This window comes from Homo sapiens, chromosome 8 (assembly GCF_000001405.40).
Source record: "Homo sapiens chromosome 8, GRCh38.p14 Primary Assembly".
In the NCBI taxonomy this organism is placed as follows: Eukaryota; Metazoa; Chordata; class Mammalia; order Primates; family Hominidae; genus Homo; species Homo sapiens.
In genome coordinates this window covers 422,603-438,810 of record NC_000008.11, presented here as the reverse complement: position 1 = coordinate 438,810, position 16,208 = coordinate 422,603, and the positions used below count along the sequence as shown (strand labels likewise).

At 39.1% G+C, this 16,208-nt stretch overlaps 1 protein-coding gene across 12 annotated transcripts in view; it reads right to left on the bottom strand.

The window, feature by feature from the left end:
• The window catches only part of FBXO25 (F-box protein 25), a 71,010-nt gene that overhangs the window by 39,157 nt on the left and 15,645 nt on the right, over positions 1-16,208 (bottom strand). For 8 of the 12 annotated variants that reach the window (XM_047421684.1, NM_183421.2, NM_183420.2 and 5 more), the window contains exons 3-5: positions 7,367-7,470; positions 5,876-5,925; positions 3,104-3,196 (exon numbers count right to left, since the gene is read on the bottom strand). In XM_047421684.1, coding sequence (XP_047277640.1) covers positions 3,104-3,196; positions 5,876-5,925; positions 7,367-7,470 — 247 coding nt within the window. Of the gene's footprint in view, positions 1-3,103; positions 3,197-5,875; positions 5,926-7,366; positions 7,471-16,208 lie in introns of those variants that run through there. The other 4 variants (XM_017013314.2, XM_024447125.2, NM_012173.4 and 1 more) reach the window with 2 other exon arrangements.

Here is a 16,208-nt window from a genome sequence, read left to right as displayed (position 1 = left end):
TTGGTATTGCCACAACCCTGTGATCACTGGCAAAGAAGATTTCATGGTGGGAGTGTGACTAGAACTGGATTTCAAAGTTTCTTGAAAGTTAGAAAAGCCAAGGTACGTTGATCTGCACACAGGAGGTGCTCAGCGATGCCAGCACTGATGGGCTCCTCCTGCCTTGAGTGAAGAGCATCTGCCCCTGGACAGTGAACAAAAGGTGGGGCCATTTTATGCCTCCAACAGGACATCTGGCTCAAACTCAACTTCAAAGATTAGAGTAAAAACGAAACTTCCATTCCAAACTACTTAACTTTATTTTGGCAACTGGAAGAATCTGTAATTGAACACTAAATTCTACTACTAACTTTTATCCTAAGACTGTGTAGTAATTATTGATTAGTCTCAGTTTAAAATTGCTGTTTAGATGGAAAAAATGATTTTACATAAAACATTAGTTGAAAGATACAGGCTGGGCATGGTGGCTCACACCTGTAATCCTAGCACTTTGGGAGGCCGAGGCAGGTGGATCACTTGAGGTCAGGAGTTCAAGACGAGCCTGGCCAAAATGGCGAAACCCCATCTCTACTAAAAATACAAAAAAGAATTAGCCAGGCATCGTGGTGCATGCCTGTAATCCCAGCTACTCAGGAGGCTGAGGCAGGAGAATCACTGGAACCCAGGAATCAGAGGTTGCAGTGAGCAGAGATCGTGCCACTGCACTCCACCCTGGGCAACAGAGTGAGACTCCATCTAAAAAAAAAAAAAAGATACACATTAAGTTTTTCACACAAATTCTTAAGGGCAGATATTACTAAATGCCATTAGAAAAAAAGGAAACCTTTTATCAAGCATTTTAAAAAAATGCTTCTACATTTCTTATTTATAGGTATTCTAATAATACTGAGTGACATTATGGACAACTTAGACTAAATTATGGAAAATCAAATTATTTAGTAGAACTACAAGACAATCCTCTCAGTTGTTGTAGTAAGTGTTGCCATAAACATTTAAAACAGCAAAAAAATACCAAATACCTGCACAGTATGTATGATAAATGCATACGATAAAGTAAAAAAAAAAAAAAAATAGCACACACTGAAAGAAAGCCAACAGAAGAGGGCACTGGGCATGGGCCAGGGAGGTTAAGAATTGGGATGGGGACATGGAGGAGCCCAATCCAAGGCAAGACACAGGCTCAGGCTTTACCACAGTCACAAAGGCTGCTTCTTGTTTTTGTTTTTAGCAGAAGGTAAGCATGAGCAAATCACTTTTTAGAGGTAACTTTGCTGGACTTGTGAAGAATGGTGTGCAAGGTCCAGAGCGACTTCAGGAGAGGGAAGGTGGGATTCCCACAGAGCAGGAGCACAGATGAGCCAAGCAAGGCCCTGCTTGGAAGGCAGCAATCAACAGAGATGCACAGACCTGTGAGGGTGCTGGGACAGCCATGCAACACTGCAGCCCTTTTGCTTCCTGAGCTCACCAGTTCCCTCGCTCCACATCTGAGAGGTGCTTTGGAGAAACACAGCCCTTCTCAAGAGGGTTGCAAAGTAAGCTTAGTTGGTACATGAGTGCACAGCACATTTTAATTTTTATAGTTATGCATTTATATGTATTAGACAAATGACCGACAGAAAATTTACCATTTCACAGGTATTAGTGTTTAGGATGAGGCTAAAGTAGGTATTTCTGTTTAGAAAAGTAAATTTGAAGAAAAGCTACCCAGCAAATTATAGTAGTATGTGGTACACAGACAAAAAAAAAATTATGCAGTCGTCCAAATGACTGAAACTGATAAAATGCTGGTCCTGGTCTATGGATGCCCCCTCTGACAAAGCACAGAATACTCGCACCTTCTCCAGAGTCAGTGACCAAAGATGAGACAGCAGGGCACCCAGCACAGAAACCACCAGGAGCCAACGACTTCCTCCTGTGCTCCATCCTACTCTCTCACTCACACCAAGAATTAAATCCTTTTATGTAGACAGATGGTCAAGAATTGCTACTATAAAGCAACTCAGTATGGTCTGAACTATCAGAGAGCTACATGGAGAAACAGTTACTGCTAAACAGACCTCTCTGCTGATGTTTTTCCCGGCTACTTAAGTACTGAAAATTTCCACAAGGCTGAGTCAAATCTGCATTTCATCATCTATAAGAAAGGTACCTATCGAGGACACCCTGCTGGCCAGTGTGTAAATATCTAAAGGAGGACTCAGAAAACACCAGGGAAGTCCAGCCTGCATGTGGTGGCTGGGCTTCAGTGAAGCATGCAGCACAACAGGAGTTGTAAGTAGTAGTTACATAAGCAGCCCTGGAAATTCTGCTCAGAAGCAAACTGAACAAATAATATTATCTAAGGCTTACAATTATTTAACTCCCTAAATTTTTGGTCCTCCCAGTAGCACTTTTAAATGCCTAAAAGCAATTAAAAGCAACATTTTTCCAATGTCTCACAGAACCATTAGAAACACAAAATTAATAGCTTCATAAACTATAGCTTCTATTTTATCCATAATAGAATGAAGGTGCATAAACCACATAGTAATTAATCTTTGGACAAAAGCAAACAATAAATGGAATATATGGCTAAGATCCTTTCTTTTTGAGTGTGGCCCAAGATAAAAATTTCTTCCAAAAGGGTATCATTAATGCAATAAGGCTTTTGTGGAATTCTATTTTGTATGAAATTCCTGTTTTCTATTAGCTACTTCTTCCTCTGCGACACAAGCCTCATTCCTTGTGAAAAACACGAAGCAGAAAACATTTGTGAAATCATCAGGTAAAGATCCCACGACCGTTCTATCACTGACACAGTATGTAGGTACGTGGTACAACCCCCAAGGGACCACCTTGTGGCATCCTCAGCAACCACAGAGCCACAGGGCAGATGAGTGTTTGCTCCCACTGAGGCTCTGCAACCTCTGCCACCAATACTGGAGAAATCCTCCAACCTCACTGTTTTCTCCTGAACTTGTTCCCTTCTGTTTTTTGATTAATACGCAGCAAACAGGCACACCTTCAAGCTGCCAAAAGCATCTTCAACGTTGTACACTTACAATCTTCAAAATATAGTTGTTCAAAAGAGTCATCAAAGTAGTTTTTGAAATAGAACACTTACTTTGACCACATAATTGAACCTTCGGATATCTTGAATTGCACTTGAGAAGTCTAACCGATTAAAGGCTTCTCCCAAGGTGCAATAGCCATGCCTCTGGAAAAGCAACACAGAAGTTAAAATTAGTCAATTAGCCAAAAAGAATTGGCAGTTAATGTCAATTAATTGTGCGATTAAAAAAATTTTTGGCAAAGGACAATTTGTTTTTATTTTGAAGACTGATTTTAGATTTAGATGAGAGTATAGTAAAATTATAGCAATGCTAATAATTTAAGCTGTTTATGTATACCTGAGACACCGTTAACTGACATTTTTTACAACCTGCTGAAGTAATGACAAAGACAAATATTTATTAAATATCTTGCCGGTTTGTTTTGTTGGGGACAAACTGGGGTGTGGACGACGTTAAAGCTAAGATCATAAAAAAACTGGATTCATTCTAGGCTACGCAACTAAAAATACATAAATCACCTGATTAACTGCATTGTAAGGATGTAGGTGTTACAAATATCTAGTTGAAACACAGGATTTCTCTGCAGGGGAGGCATGCACTGCCCGAGTTTGAAGTATAACATGGGATTTCTCTCCAGAGCAGCCATGCACTGCCCAGGCTGGAAGTATGCTCAACCACAAGGATCAGGGCTGGGAGAGGTGCTTCGGTAGCAAGAAGGTGCTTCTGAAAACCAGCATTGGGATGGAGAGGGCTGAAGGCAAGTGCTGGATGTGACCACGGGCAGCTTTCAGGCTGGGAGCACGGATGCCAAGAACCCAAAACACCAAAAAAAACTGGTGTTTAGACCCACAGGTCCAAGAACTGAAGGAAGAAAATGAAACAATTTATTTTCAGTACTGTAAACACTGCTGCTATTCTCTTAGATGTTTTTCTTCCATGATATACCCTTATCCTATATTGGTTTGTATAGATTAGCACACTAGGTTTCAGAAGTCATTTTAAACTCCATCTTCATCCTCCATATTTGAAATATTTAAAATCTACAGATTTTCATGTCAAAGTTGTAGAGATAAGCTAGAAAAAAATAATAGAAAACATGAGATGATTGGTCTCAAATTCCAAACAGGTGACTTGAGATGTCCTAGAGAAAGCAGCTGGAGTCATAGCACCTTTGTCTCTGACAGCCGATACACTCAGAGGCTCATGTGCTTCTGTGCGCCAACCCCAATCGCCCTGACGGGTGCACAACTCAACAAAATATACTCATTTAAAACATCCAAATATGTTGACTGACTGCCTGCTATGTGGAAAACATTTTCCTGGGAACTCTGGGGAAAGGAAACACTCATTTTGATATAGATTATAATCTGAAATCCATCACAGCTGATATTCCACACGATGGTGCAGCAGGCACTTTCCAAGGTCACCACCCATCTTACAACAGGAAATTAAATCTGATTCACAGAGCAGACCACAAAGAGCATGTGCGGACCTAGAACCACAGCATGTAACCTCGGAAGCGGTGAGACACCAGCCAGCATGGACAAGCAGCAGGCACTTGCTCTGTACCAGGTGAGGGTATGGAGACATGACGTGGTGCAGGGACACCAGCACCCAGTCCTAGTTCTGGTCCCTCTCAGCCTTGTTAGGTCCTGGTTCCTAGCATTCCAGGGAGCATCCCCACAGCCTCACAAGAAGATCCTCCTTTCCTGCATATGCTAGCTTGGATGGGATCCTCTGTTCTGTAATCAGTATGGCAACAGAGCAGATGAAATATTTAATGGTCTTTCACGAGCACTAAATTTTGTTTTTCACAAACTAGGTTAGATTCTGTCAAATAATCGTCTAATGGTGTATTCGAGTGTATATTAAGGATCTGATTCATTCTATACCCACTAACCATAACCAAACAGATTAAGTTTTCTTTCTCAGAATCTAATCCTTCAGTTTCTTGGAAGCTGGACTAGTTTCAGAGCATCTACAAACATTTCTGGAATATTTAACTTACCCTGAAATAACATACGATAGACAGTAATTCCCTAAATTATTTTCCCCAATTGTTGCAAAATAAAGCAAATGCAGAGTTTCTAGGCCTATAAAAGGAACTCAACTTCCCGGATCCTAGTAAAGAAACAGGAAACAGCTTGAAGCTCTCTCGTTTGTTTTATGGCTCATGAAAAAGCTTTAGCCCAACTTGGCAAAAGAAAGGCAGGGAAAGAGTTCACACAGCTCTGCACAAACCCAACCCAATTACTAATTTCATGTTAGCCACTCTTTATGTGGAATGAGAGGGCTCACAGATGCCCTGCCCTCCAAAACACGCCACAGGGAGGACACATTCCCATCAGCATCAGGGGTTCATGCTAACACAGAGAAAATGCGTATGACTGCAGGAGTCCATGCTTGGTTTAAATAACCCTGCTGTAGACTCAGATATGTACAGGTAGGCAGGAACCACACACTGCACACATATACCACATGCCACCACACACCATACATCCCACACACCAGTATCTGCACAAATACATGCACAATCATACATACACACCATATATACCACACACATACACCATACACACAACACACACAAATGTGTGCACAAATACACAGCCACATACCACATGCACATGCAAGCACACACAATGGAAAATCACTGCCTCAAAAGCTCCTCATATGCTATTATCTGTCAGAATGTGAACCATAGATCTGATATTGCAAAAGAAATGTGTTTTATGCAACTTTATTAATACATTTATTTAATGTGACTCCATATTCAACAGAAACAATACAAGATACTCTCATATTTATAATAGAATACTTACTTCCTTTGTGCTTTCTTTATGGACATAGATCCATTTTTCACGATAAAAACCTAGAATAAAAATTACCTTTGTTTTTAAAATCTGGCAAATCATTTCAAAATGAAGATTTTAAAGGAATTTAAATAATTGGACATGTTAACAAAATTATCTGACTTACTATATTGACAAGAAATGCTTTTACGTGGGTGAATGCAAACAGAATTGCTTTGTTTCTTAAATCAGTTTAAGATATGAACAATGATTTCAGACAGTACCAAGTCCTAGTAACTTAGAAGAAAATTAGTATTATTAATGACTGAAGCCATATGAAGACATAAATGATTATAAAATGCAATTACATTACTACATTCCTATGTACCCTAATAAAAAGTTCTATTCTTCTGTTGCTGTGTATGGTACTCCATAGAAACAAATTTTTCAGATAAATCTTAAAAGTTTCAAGAATCACACTAACTGTATTCTCCATGTGACCCTATCTTCTTCATAAAGTAGTCCCCCCGTATTCACAGTTTCACCTTCTACAGTTTCAATTACCCACAGTCAGGTTTGGTTTGAAAACATTAAGTGGAAAATTCCAGAAATAAACCATTCATAAGTTTTAAATTGTGTGCCATTCTGGGTGGTGTCATGAAATCTCACACCGTCCTGCTCTGTCCTGCCTGGGATGCAAATCCTCCCTTTGTCAAGCGAGTCCTACACTACCCGCCCCTTGGTCACTCAGTAGCCGTCTTGGTTATCGGATCACCTGTTGAGATATCACAGTGCTTGTATTTAAAGAACCCTTACTGTACTTCATAATGGCCCCAAAGTGCAAGAGCAGTGATGGTGGCCATCTTGCTATAACTGTTTCATTTTATTATTCTCGTTAATCTCTTACTGCACCTAATTTATAAATTAAACTTTATTATAAGTGTGTATATACATAAAAAAAACCATAGTATCCATAAGGTTTGGTAGTATCCACAGTTTCAGGCATCCACTGGAGGTCTATCCCCTGAGGTAAGGGAGCCTACTATACATTAACATGTGTCTTGGTAACTCACAGATATGCTGCATGATAGAGCTCTATGCCCTCACATAGATAGGTCCCACCTCCAGCCTTCCCCTGCTGCCATCTAACATCCTAAACTCCAGCTCTGAATGTCTGTCTCCTGCTCTGAATCTTCAGTGACTTCAAAACTCAAGTCAGGACACCTCTCAGTTTGGCCTCACTGCTCAAGACTGAGCTGAATTCATGACCATAATTCAAGCATTCAGATTCATGGGCTGTTTTGTGGGTTTGGCTATCTCTTATTTTGTTTTTGCACATCTTACCCACTGAAACGGTTGAGCTGCAAAAAGTTTGATCACTAAATCTGTAGGCAATGCTGGATACTGGGCTGTTATTTACATATTTGTATCACCTTTTATTTCATAAGATAGCATTGTCAGAGTAATTTAGTATTTCAACGTAATCAACAAGTAAAATAAAATTAATGAGAATGATCTTACTTTGAGTATTTGTGTCATTTCTAAAATGGTCCTTTTTCCTTTTTTTCGATGCATATTCATGCTCTTCATTATTGAATATTTCTCCATCTTCACTATTTAAGATACTGAAATAAAGACACATTCTATTAAAATATTTTTTCAGGGAGATCTTCATTTGGCTTTTCTTTTGTAAAAGGATATAAATACTTCAAAGTGACAGACTGTGGGCTTGAAATCACAAGGGTAATGTCTAATACATTTTTGTTTCATTTTGAGAAATAAGATGTATCCTGGTTCTTTGAGAATATTGTACCAGAAAGTGCTGAACATGTTTTAGAATCTCTGAAGGGTCTTGATATACTTATCCAAGGTAGTTTCAAACATCAAAATGCCTTATTAAAACAGAGATTTTTTTAAAAAACAACTATTAAAACTCCAGAAAAAAGATGGTAAGAATATGATGATACCCAATACTGACCAATGACTTGCTGTATACCTTCCCCATGCTGAGTAACCACTCAACATTTCTGTTTACTCCCTATATAAGGGTTTACCTGAAGTTAATTATTACTGCACTGAACATGTTTTTATTAAGCACCAACCAAATACACTGTTAACACATTTAACTGGAACCAGGTGAAGTGACATGTATATTTTTACTATTTAAATACATTTAATTAAAAGCTTTTCTTCTTCGTGAAACAAGAAAATCAAATCATAAGGCAATAACTAAACAATGGGAACACCTTTTACTTTTTAAAAAAACACCTGTAAATAGTAATCCACATCCTCAAAACTAACGCTGTGTAAAATTTTTATTTTCCACACACTGATAACAGATTTTCAGTGTAAAGTGAGGAAGGAAGCTCTGTGGAGACAAGCTGGTTGGTGGAGGCATGTGAGAGTGGTGCTCAAATCCAAGGAACTAAAATTGCTTATTTGCCGGTCATCGTTCTTTGACAAGAAAATTGTACACAAGCCCCTTTCCACTCACCAGTATTCACTTTTATTAAAAAAAAAAAGCTGACTTTGCCAAATGAGTCACTTTCTCACTGTCAGAACAGACTTAAACAGCGGTGCCAACAGTTGTAAATCATCAAGACAAGCAAAGCACATTTGAAAAACATACAAACAACTGAACTTTTTGTGGCAGACATTATAACAGCAATTTATGGAAATGTGTTGATGTTTGTATTTTGTATTTAGTCTTACACCAGTTTGTTATCATTGATTGAAATACTGAATGTAGAAGCTTTAGAATCTATAACGGTTTTTCTAACGAAAATTACAAACATATCAAAGGAAAAGCACAAATACAATGTTCTCCAGAAATACTGTCGCAGAAATAAAGACAGAATATGGAAGGAGACAGGACTGCTGACTAATCTCATACGTACAGGGAGAAGGACACTCCATGCAGCTTAGCTCCAACATGTGAGCATGGGACAGAAAAGCAAGGTGAACCTAAAGATATCCCATGGACACACTGAGCTGGAACCAACTCTGCCCATAGGTGGTGGGGCCAGGTTCAGATGCTTGCAGTAACCGCATCCTCCTGTGAATCTGGGCCTAGATGGCTGTGGCTCCCTGGGGGCTACCCACACTGTGGATTCCACAGGTGGAGGTGACCTTCTTGGGCACTGCTGGGACACTTCCTGGGCCTGCCTGGGCAGTGGTAGGGCTCAGAGAACTTCAGCATTAGGGCCTTGGGGAGTCTATGTCAGACTTGAGGACCAAGCCTGGGCTCACAAATGACAACTAGGCTACTATTTTTACAAAGTATTTTAAACGGGGAAAAAGCCATTACTTTTTGGTTGTGGGTTTTACACTGTCAGGTAAACAAAAATGTACAAGTAGAGAAGAAAGATGAATGCTTCTGAAATTTAAATTCGACACATTAAAATGTTAATAAAGGAGTATTTAATTTATAAATCTTTCCATTCTGCATGTATCAACTACATTTCATAGCAATCAACTACACGTCACAGCAAACATGTTCTCTTTTTATAACCTTTGTTTCACCAGCAAGACAAACATCACCTACTCTGACTTAAAAACAAGGGAACCTGCCCAACAACTTGATTAAAAAATGTCAAACAACTTCAACAGACACTTCTCCAAAGAAGAGACACAGCAGCCAAGAAGCCCATGAAAAGATGCTCCATATCACCAATTGTTAGGTAAATGCAAATTAACACTACGATGAGATACTACCTCACGCTCATTATGAGGCTACTGGCAAATTAAAAAAAAAGAAACTAACAAGTGTTGACATGCATGTGGGGAAACTGGATCCCTCGTGCAATGTTGGTGGGAATGGAGGATGGTATAGCTACTATAGGAAACAGTATGGAGGTTCTTCAAAAAATTAAACATAGAATTACCATATGATCCAACAATTCCACTTCTGGGTATATATTCAAAAGAACTGAAAGCAGAGAATGAAAGAGATACTTGTATGCCCACGTTCATAGCAGTATTACTTGCAACAGATAAACATGGAAGCAACCCACATGTCCATCAGTGGATGAATAGATAAGCAAAATGTGGTGTACACTATACACAATATGGAATATTATTCAGTCTGAAAAAGGAAATGCTGACACATGCTACAACAGGGCTGAAACTTGAGGACGTTACGCTGAGATAAGACAGTCACAAAAGGACACATACTGTCTGATTTGACTTATATGAGGTACTCAGAAAAGTCAAATCATACAAACAGAAAATAGAAAGCCAGTTACCAGGTCTGGGGGTGCTGGAGAATGAAAAGTTAGCGTTTAATGGGGACAGAGTTTCAGTTTGGGAAGATGTAAAAGTTCTAGAGATGGATGGTGGTAATGGTTGCACAATAGTGTGAATGTACTTAACACCACTGAACTGTACATTTAAAAATGGTTAGGATGGCAATTTTATGTTATGTGTATTTTGTTTTAATTAAAGATAAAGAGACAGTGTGCAAGAGAGGAGAGGAAGTAGCAGCTTGTCTTGTTCATGCTGTCTGAGGTGCATGTCCGAGGGATGGGGTGGGGGCGGGAAGTGTTAAAAACAAAGAATAGAACGTTATACAACACAAGCGGAAAATACAGGGCACAAACACACTTGTATGAAACACAGAGTTTCCATAAACTTAAAACATGTCTGAATGATGGAGCTAACAGCCCTTAACTCTCCACACCCAGGCTGCACCACAGCATACGTCACCCCCTTGCTAGCAAATGTGCCCAAAAGGCAATGACATTCCAAGTTTCCTCTGACAATCCCAAGGACAGGGAATCACTTTTCCAAGTTCCTTTCCATTCAAGAAAAGGAAGAGAAGAGAATAGAGAAGAATCAACAAAACAACTCCAAGTAGAAGTAAACAAGAGCCAAGAACGGAACTATTTCTCATAATTAAACCCCAATTTCTATAAATTACAATCCTCATTTTAGTGATGACCTATAATAAGATTTGCATTTTCCTCTGATGGTATTTCCCTTAAGAGATGGATAACAAGGACTTAATCTTCATCTCCCAGACCACTCTAGGGTTTTAAGCACAGGCTTTACAGAAATGTGCTGTTATGGGCCATCATCTTCAAATCATTTCCACACAAGTCTAGGAAAATAAGACAGGCTACGGTAAGCCTCCGGTTTTTAAAATTGCTAATCAAGGGCATCAGTTCTTAACTATATTGCTGTAAAATATGTCACAAAACTTTTGTTACCAGTAAGAAAAATGACCAATATTTGTGAATGATTTGTTTTAATAATTATTAAAGTACTATACTACACATAATAAAAAATAATACATACTCATAAACTCAACTTCCCTGAGTGGCCAGTAGGAAGCAACCCTGCCAAGCCCTTGATTTTGGATTTCTGGCCTCCAGAATTGTGAGGACATACATTTCTGTGGTTTTAAGCCACTGAGTTTGTGGTTATGGAATCCCAGAAAATGAATAAAAGTATCTATCTTTTCAAGTTACTTCAGTTTGATATTGATTATGAAAGGTACATATATGCTACCAAACAGAAGAGACTTTAGGGAGAAAAAATCTCGCATAAATGCAACAAGTTGCCATGACTCTAAGTGCCAAGGTCATATAACATGCAGACTGTGATAATTTCACCAACACCAAAACAAAGTGGAACAAATCCTCAAACACAGTTGCTGATAATTCCCACCCTGGCCTCCTCTGACATTTCCTTTCGATCAATTTGGCTGCACCTCTTCTGTCAAGCAGGAGCTGGAGGACATTTTGGTCAGCTCCTCCCCGGAAGGGAGCTACAATCTCTGCTCTAACAATCCCCAGTTGTTGTCTTAAGTCACACTGTGTTCATCAATGGCTACCTACTAAACTTAGCTTTTTATCTGTACATTTTCCAATCAGGTCGTATTATTTTCTCCTGGTAGGCAAATGTTTACGTTTATCCATTTTCCTGATATAAAGCTACTTCGTATCAGTGTATTATTAGTCTCTAATTATAAAAAGAAAATTCAGAAGAGAAAGTCCAGTCAATTTTATATAAGTTAAAAAAAAGATGTGAAACCTATTTTTAGCATTAACATTTCCTTCCTAAATATCTAACACGACACACTTACGGACTCTTAACACACCCTTCTTACATGAAGGGAGCAGCAGAGCAGAGGGCGACAAGAGCACCAAGGCCAGGTGGAGCCACAGCCAATGTGGGCCCATCTCACTCCGCAGGGAGAAGCAACTGCACTGTGCACAGAGTGCAATCTGGCAGAAGGGAAACGCCGTCTTAAAGAGCTTCAGATGCAGCAACCTCGAGGAAGGGCTGTGCCAGAAAGTCCACCAGATGAGGCCGCAAACCTATCAAAGGGCATCAGACACTCTGTGCACAGGGTACACAAAACAATGCCTCCCACATTCTGTGACTTCCTGCGTGTGCCACTTGGACCACCACACTCCCTACCTGCACCATCTTACCTGGACAGACTAAATCTCAGCCACCTCATGACTAGGATATTAACATGGCTTTCAGTTCTATAAATTCCTCCCCCTTAAGAATGCATGTCTGTAAAATCAGAAATGATGAAAACTGGACTCGTGAGTGGCTTTGTAGTAGGGATTACAGGTCCAGAATAGAATAGGTTCAGTAACATATTTAAGATATTCAAGGGAAAAAATATAAGCCACAGATTTAACATCTAAATAGTGACTATCAAGGGTAAAAGTCACACATATTTTTTATGAGTATACACAAACACAGGAAGTACAGTGACCAGGAGCTGAGGGATGACCCACTAAAGAATAAGCTCCGGAAACCAAAATGACTAGAGGCAGATGCAAAGGTGAGCTGCAGGGTGGTCTTTATTTATCTGTGGAGCTGCTGGCACATGACAGTGATAAAAGTGCAGCATGCCATGGTTAACAGCGTGCACAATGCAGACAAAGAACAACCACCAGTGTTCTGGTAGAGGCGGGCAGAAGATGTGCAGGGGCCAACTGGGACTGGGGTGTCCATCAGCTAACTGCAGTATCAGGTACTGTGGGGAGCCAACCAAAGAAACTAAGTGTTTGCTATAAAGGCATTAGGATAAAAGTGGAAAAAAAAAAAAAAAAGGAGGAAGAAAGCCCTCCTAAATACCAAAAGGATAAAAGCAAATAAAATAGAACAAGGTGGTTCCCTGTTATCTGTGATGTAAAAAATGGACTTGGCTCACCTATTAAATGGAAAACAGTCTTGGATTGGCTCACAAAGCAAAATCAAACACCATACTGCATATAAGATATACAGCTATAAAAGGCTGGGAAAATATATAGAGAATTTATAGGACTCAGAAAAAAAGTAACTGTCACAGGCAACTTTATAGCATTAAATACCTATATCAATACAAATTTAAATAATAAAAATAAATTATTTAAACATATAACTGAAAAAGCCAGAAAAAGAATAAGTGAACCAAAAGAAAGAGGGGAATTATTACAAATAAAAGCAGATATTATTAAGTAGAAAAAGAATAGAACTAAGAAGTAAATCCAAAAGCTGGCTCTCAAGATAAAATAATCAACCAAAACAAACCACTAGGTATCTGATTAGAAAAAAAAAAATAAGAAAGTTACAAGTGCTAACAGAAGAAAATTTAAACATTGTAAAAGATAAGGAAAAGAAAGGGATAGAGAGAAAAATGTGTAGATTAAAAGAGACTTTAAAAACATATCAAATTTTAAGAATAAAACAACACTAAACTATAGTGTCTAGGAATATACACTTGGTGATAAAACTATAAAGATTAGGGAAATGGTTACCATAAGAGTTTGGGAAGTGGTTATTTTTGGGGAGATGAAGTAGGTTATAATAGAAATGGGACATGTGGGGGGCGGGGGGCGCTTCTGGGATGATTGATAAAGTTCTATTCCTTGACCCGGGTGTGGTCACAAGGATGTTTCCTTTATAAAAATGAAGAAAAACATTAAAAAATCATTACAGGCAACTTTATAAAACTCTTTGCAGTAAGTTAGTAGATGAAACATTTTTAAAAAATATTAAATTTAATGCTATTCCAATACAAAATCAAGTTTTTTTCTTAGAGCTAAACAAGTTAATTATAAAATGCATTTAAGAACAACAAGAAACTATCCTAAAATTCATATGGAATGAAAAAAGAGCCCAAATAGCCAAAGCACTCCTAAGCAAAAAGAACAAAGCCAGAGGCATCACACTACTCAACTTCAAACTATACTATAAAGCCCCAGTAACCAAAACAGCTTCTGTACTGGTACAAAAACAGACTCACAGACCAATGAACAGAACAGAAAACTCAGAAATAAAGCCACACACCTACAACCATTCAATCTTTGACAAGGCCAGCAAAAACAGCAGTGGAAAAAGACCATCCTATTCAATATATGGTGTTGGAATAACTGGCTAGCCACATACAGAAGACTGAAGCCAGACCCCTACCTTTCAGCATATACAAAAATTAACTCAAAATATATTAAAGATTTCAAAGTAAGACCTCAAACTGTAAGATCCTGGAAGATAACCTAGGAAATACTCTTCTTGACGTTGGCCTTGGCAAAGAATTTTTGGCTAAGTTCCCAAAAACAAATGCAACAAAAACAAAAATTGGCAAGTAGAATTTAATTAAATGAAAGAGCTTCTGCACAGCAAGAGAAACTATTGACAGAGAATATAGACAACCTACGGAATGAGAGAAACTATTTGCAAACTATGCGTCTGACAAAGGCCTAATATCCAGAATCTACAGGGAACTTATGCAAAAAAACAAACAACCCCATTAAAAAATGGGCAAAGGAGTGAGCGGAAATTGCGCCACTGCACTCCAGCCTGGGTGTCAGAGTGAGACTCTGTCTCAAAAAAAAAAAAAAAAAATGGGCAAAGGACATGAACAGGCACTTCTCAAACAAGATATACAAGTGGCCAACAAACATGAAAACGGCTCAGTACCACATAGCATTAGAGAAATGCATCAAAACCACAATGAGATACCATCTGACACTAGTCAGAATGGCCATTACTAAAAAGTCAAAGACAACAGATGCTGGCAAGGCTGAGGAGAAAACAGAATGCTTATACACTGTTGACGGGAATGTAAATCAGTCCAGCCATTGTGGGAAGTGGTCTAGAGATTTCTCAAAGAACTTAAAATAGAACTACCATTCTATCCAGCAACCCCATTACTGGGTATATATCCAAAAGAAAATAAATCATTCTACCAAAAAGACACAGGCACTCCTATGTTCATCGCTGCACTATTAACAATAGTAAAGACACAGAATCAACCCAGGTGCCCATCAATGGTAGACTGGATAAAGAAAATGTGGTACCTATACATCATGAAATACTACACAGCCATAAAAAAGGAATAAAATCACACCCTTTGCAGCAACATGGATGGAGCTTGACTTAATTCTAAGCAAATTAATGCAGGAACAGAAAACCAAATACCACATGTTCTCACTTATAAATGGGAGCTAAACACTGAGCACACATGGACACAAACATGGGAACAACAGACACTGGGGACTACTAGAAGGTAGAGGGAGTGGGGGTGGGTTAAAAAAAACTACCTATTGGGTACTATGCTAACGAGGTGACAGGATCTGTACTCCAAACCCCAGCCTCATGCAATATTTTCATGTAACAAATCTGTACATGGACCCCCTGTATCTAAAATAAAAGGAGAAGAAGAACCAGTAAGCACAAATAACCAGACAACTCTGAGTAAGAACCACAATGGTGAAGACTCTAGCCCCAGCTGACATGAAAACACAGTATTAAGCCTCTCTATTTACATCAGTGTGATGAGGGAAGTCCAGGAAGACAGAGAGAAAACCCTGTAGTCCCAATTGCCCATGGAAATTTAGTATGGGAAAAAGAGGTATCTCAACACAGCAGGGAAGGGGCTTTTCAGTTAGTAGTGCTGCTGCAGTAACTGGACAGCTACTGCACAAAGACACAAACAGATTTGTTCCTCACGTCATGCTCCAAGATAAATTCCAAATGGAGCATAAGTTCTCTTCTCTCTCCTGAGGCATAATTCATATACAGCAGAATAGACTTTTAAGTACAGTTCAGGGAGTCCTGACCTGTGTACCTCCCGTAACACATACCCAATAAAGACACCATAGAAAGCTCCATATAGCTATTAAGTCAATCACCAGGGAGGCTCTCCACTCTGCCTCTCCTTGGGAACTAAGAGGTAAGCCACCATTGCGAGCCCTGTGCTGACGCAGGCCCCAGACACGACTGACAGCACAGTCAGACTACGTGATGCCTCTGGCTTGCCTATTAATTTTCTTAATGATGACTTAAAAAGACTTTTAAAGGTGATTTTAGACTTGCACAAGAGTTTCAGAGGCAGAACACACAGTGTCCCCAAGTTTCC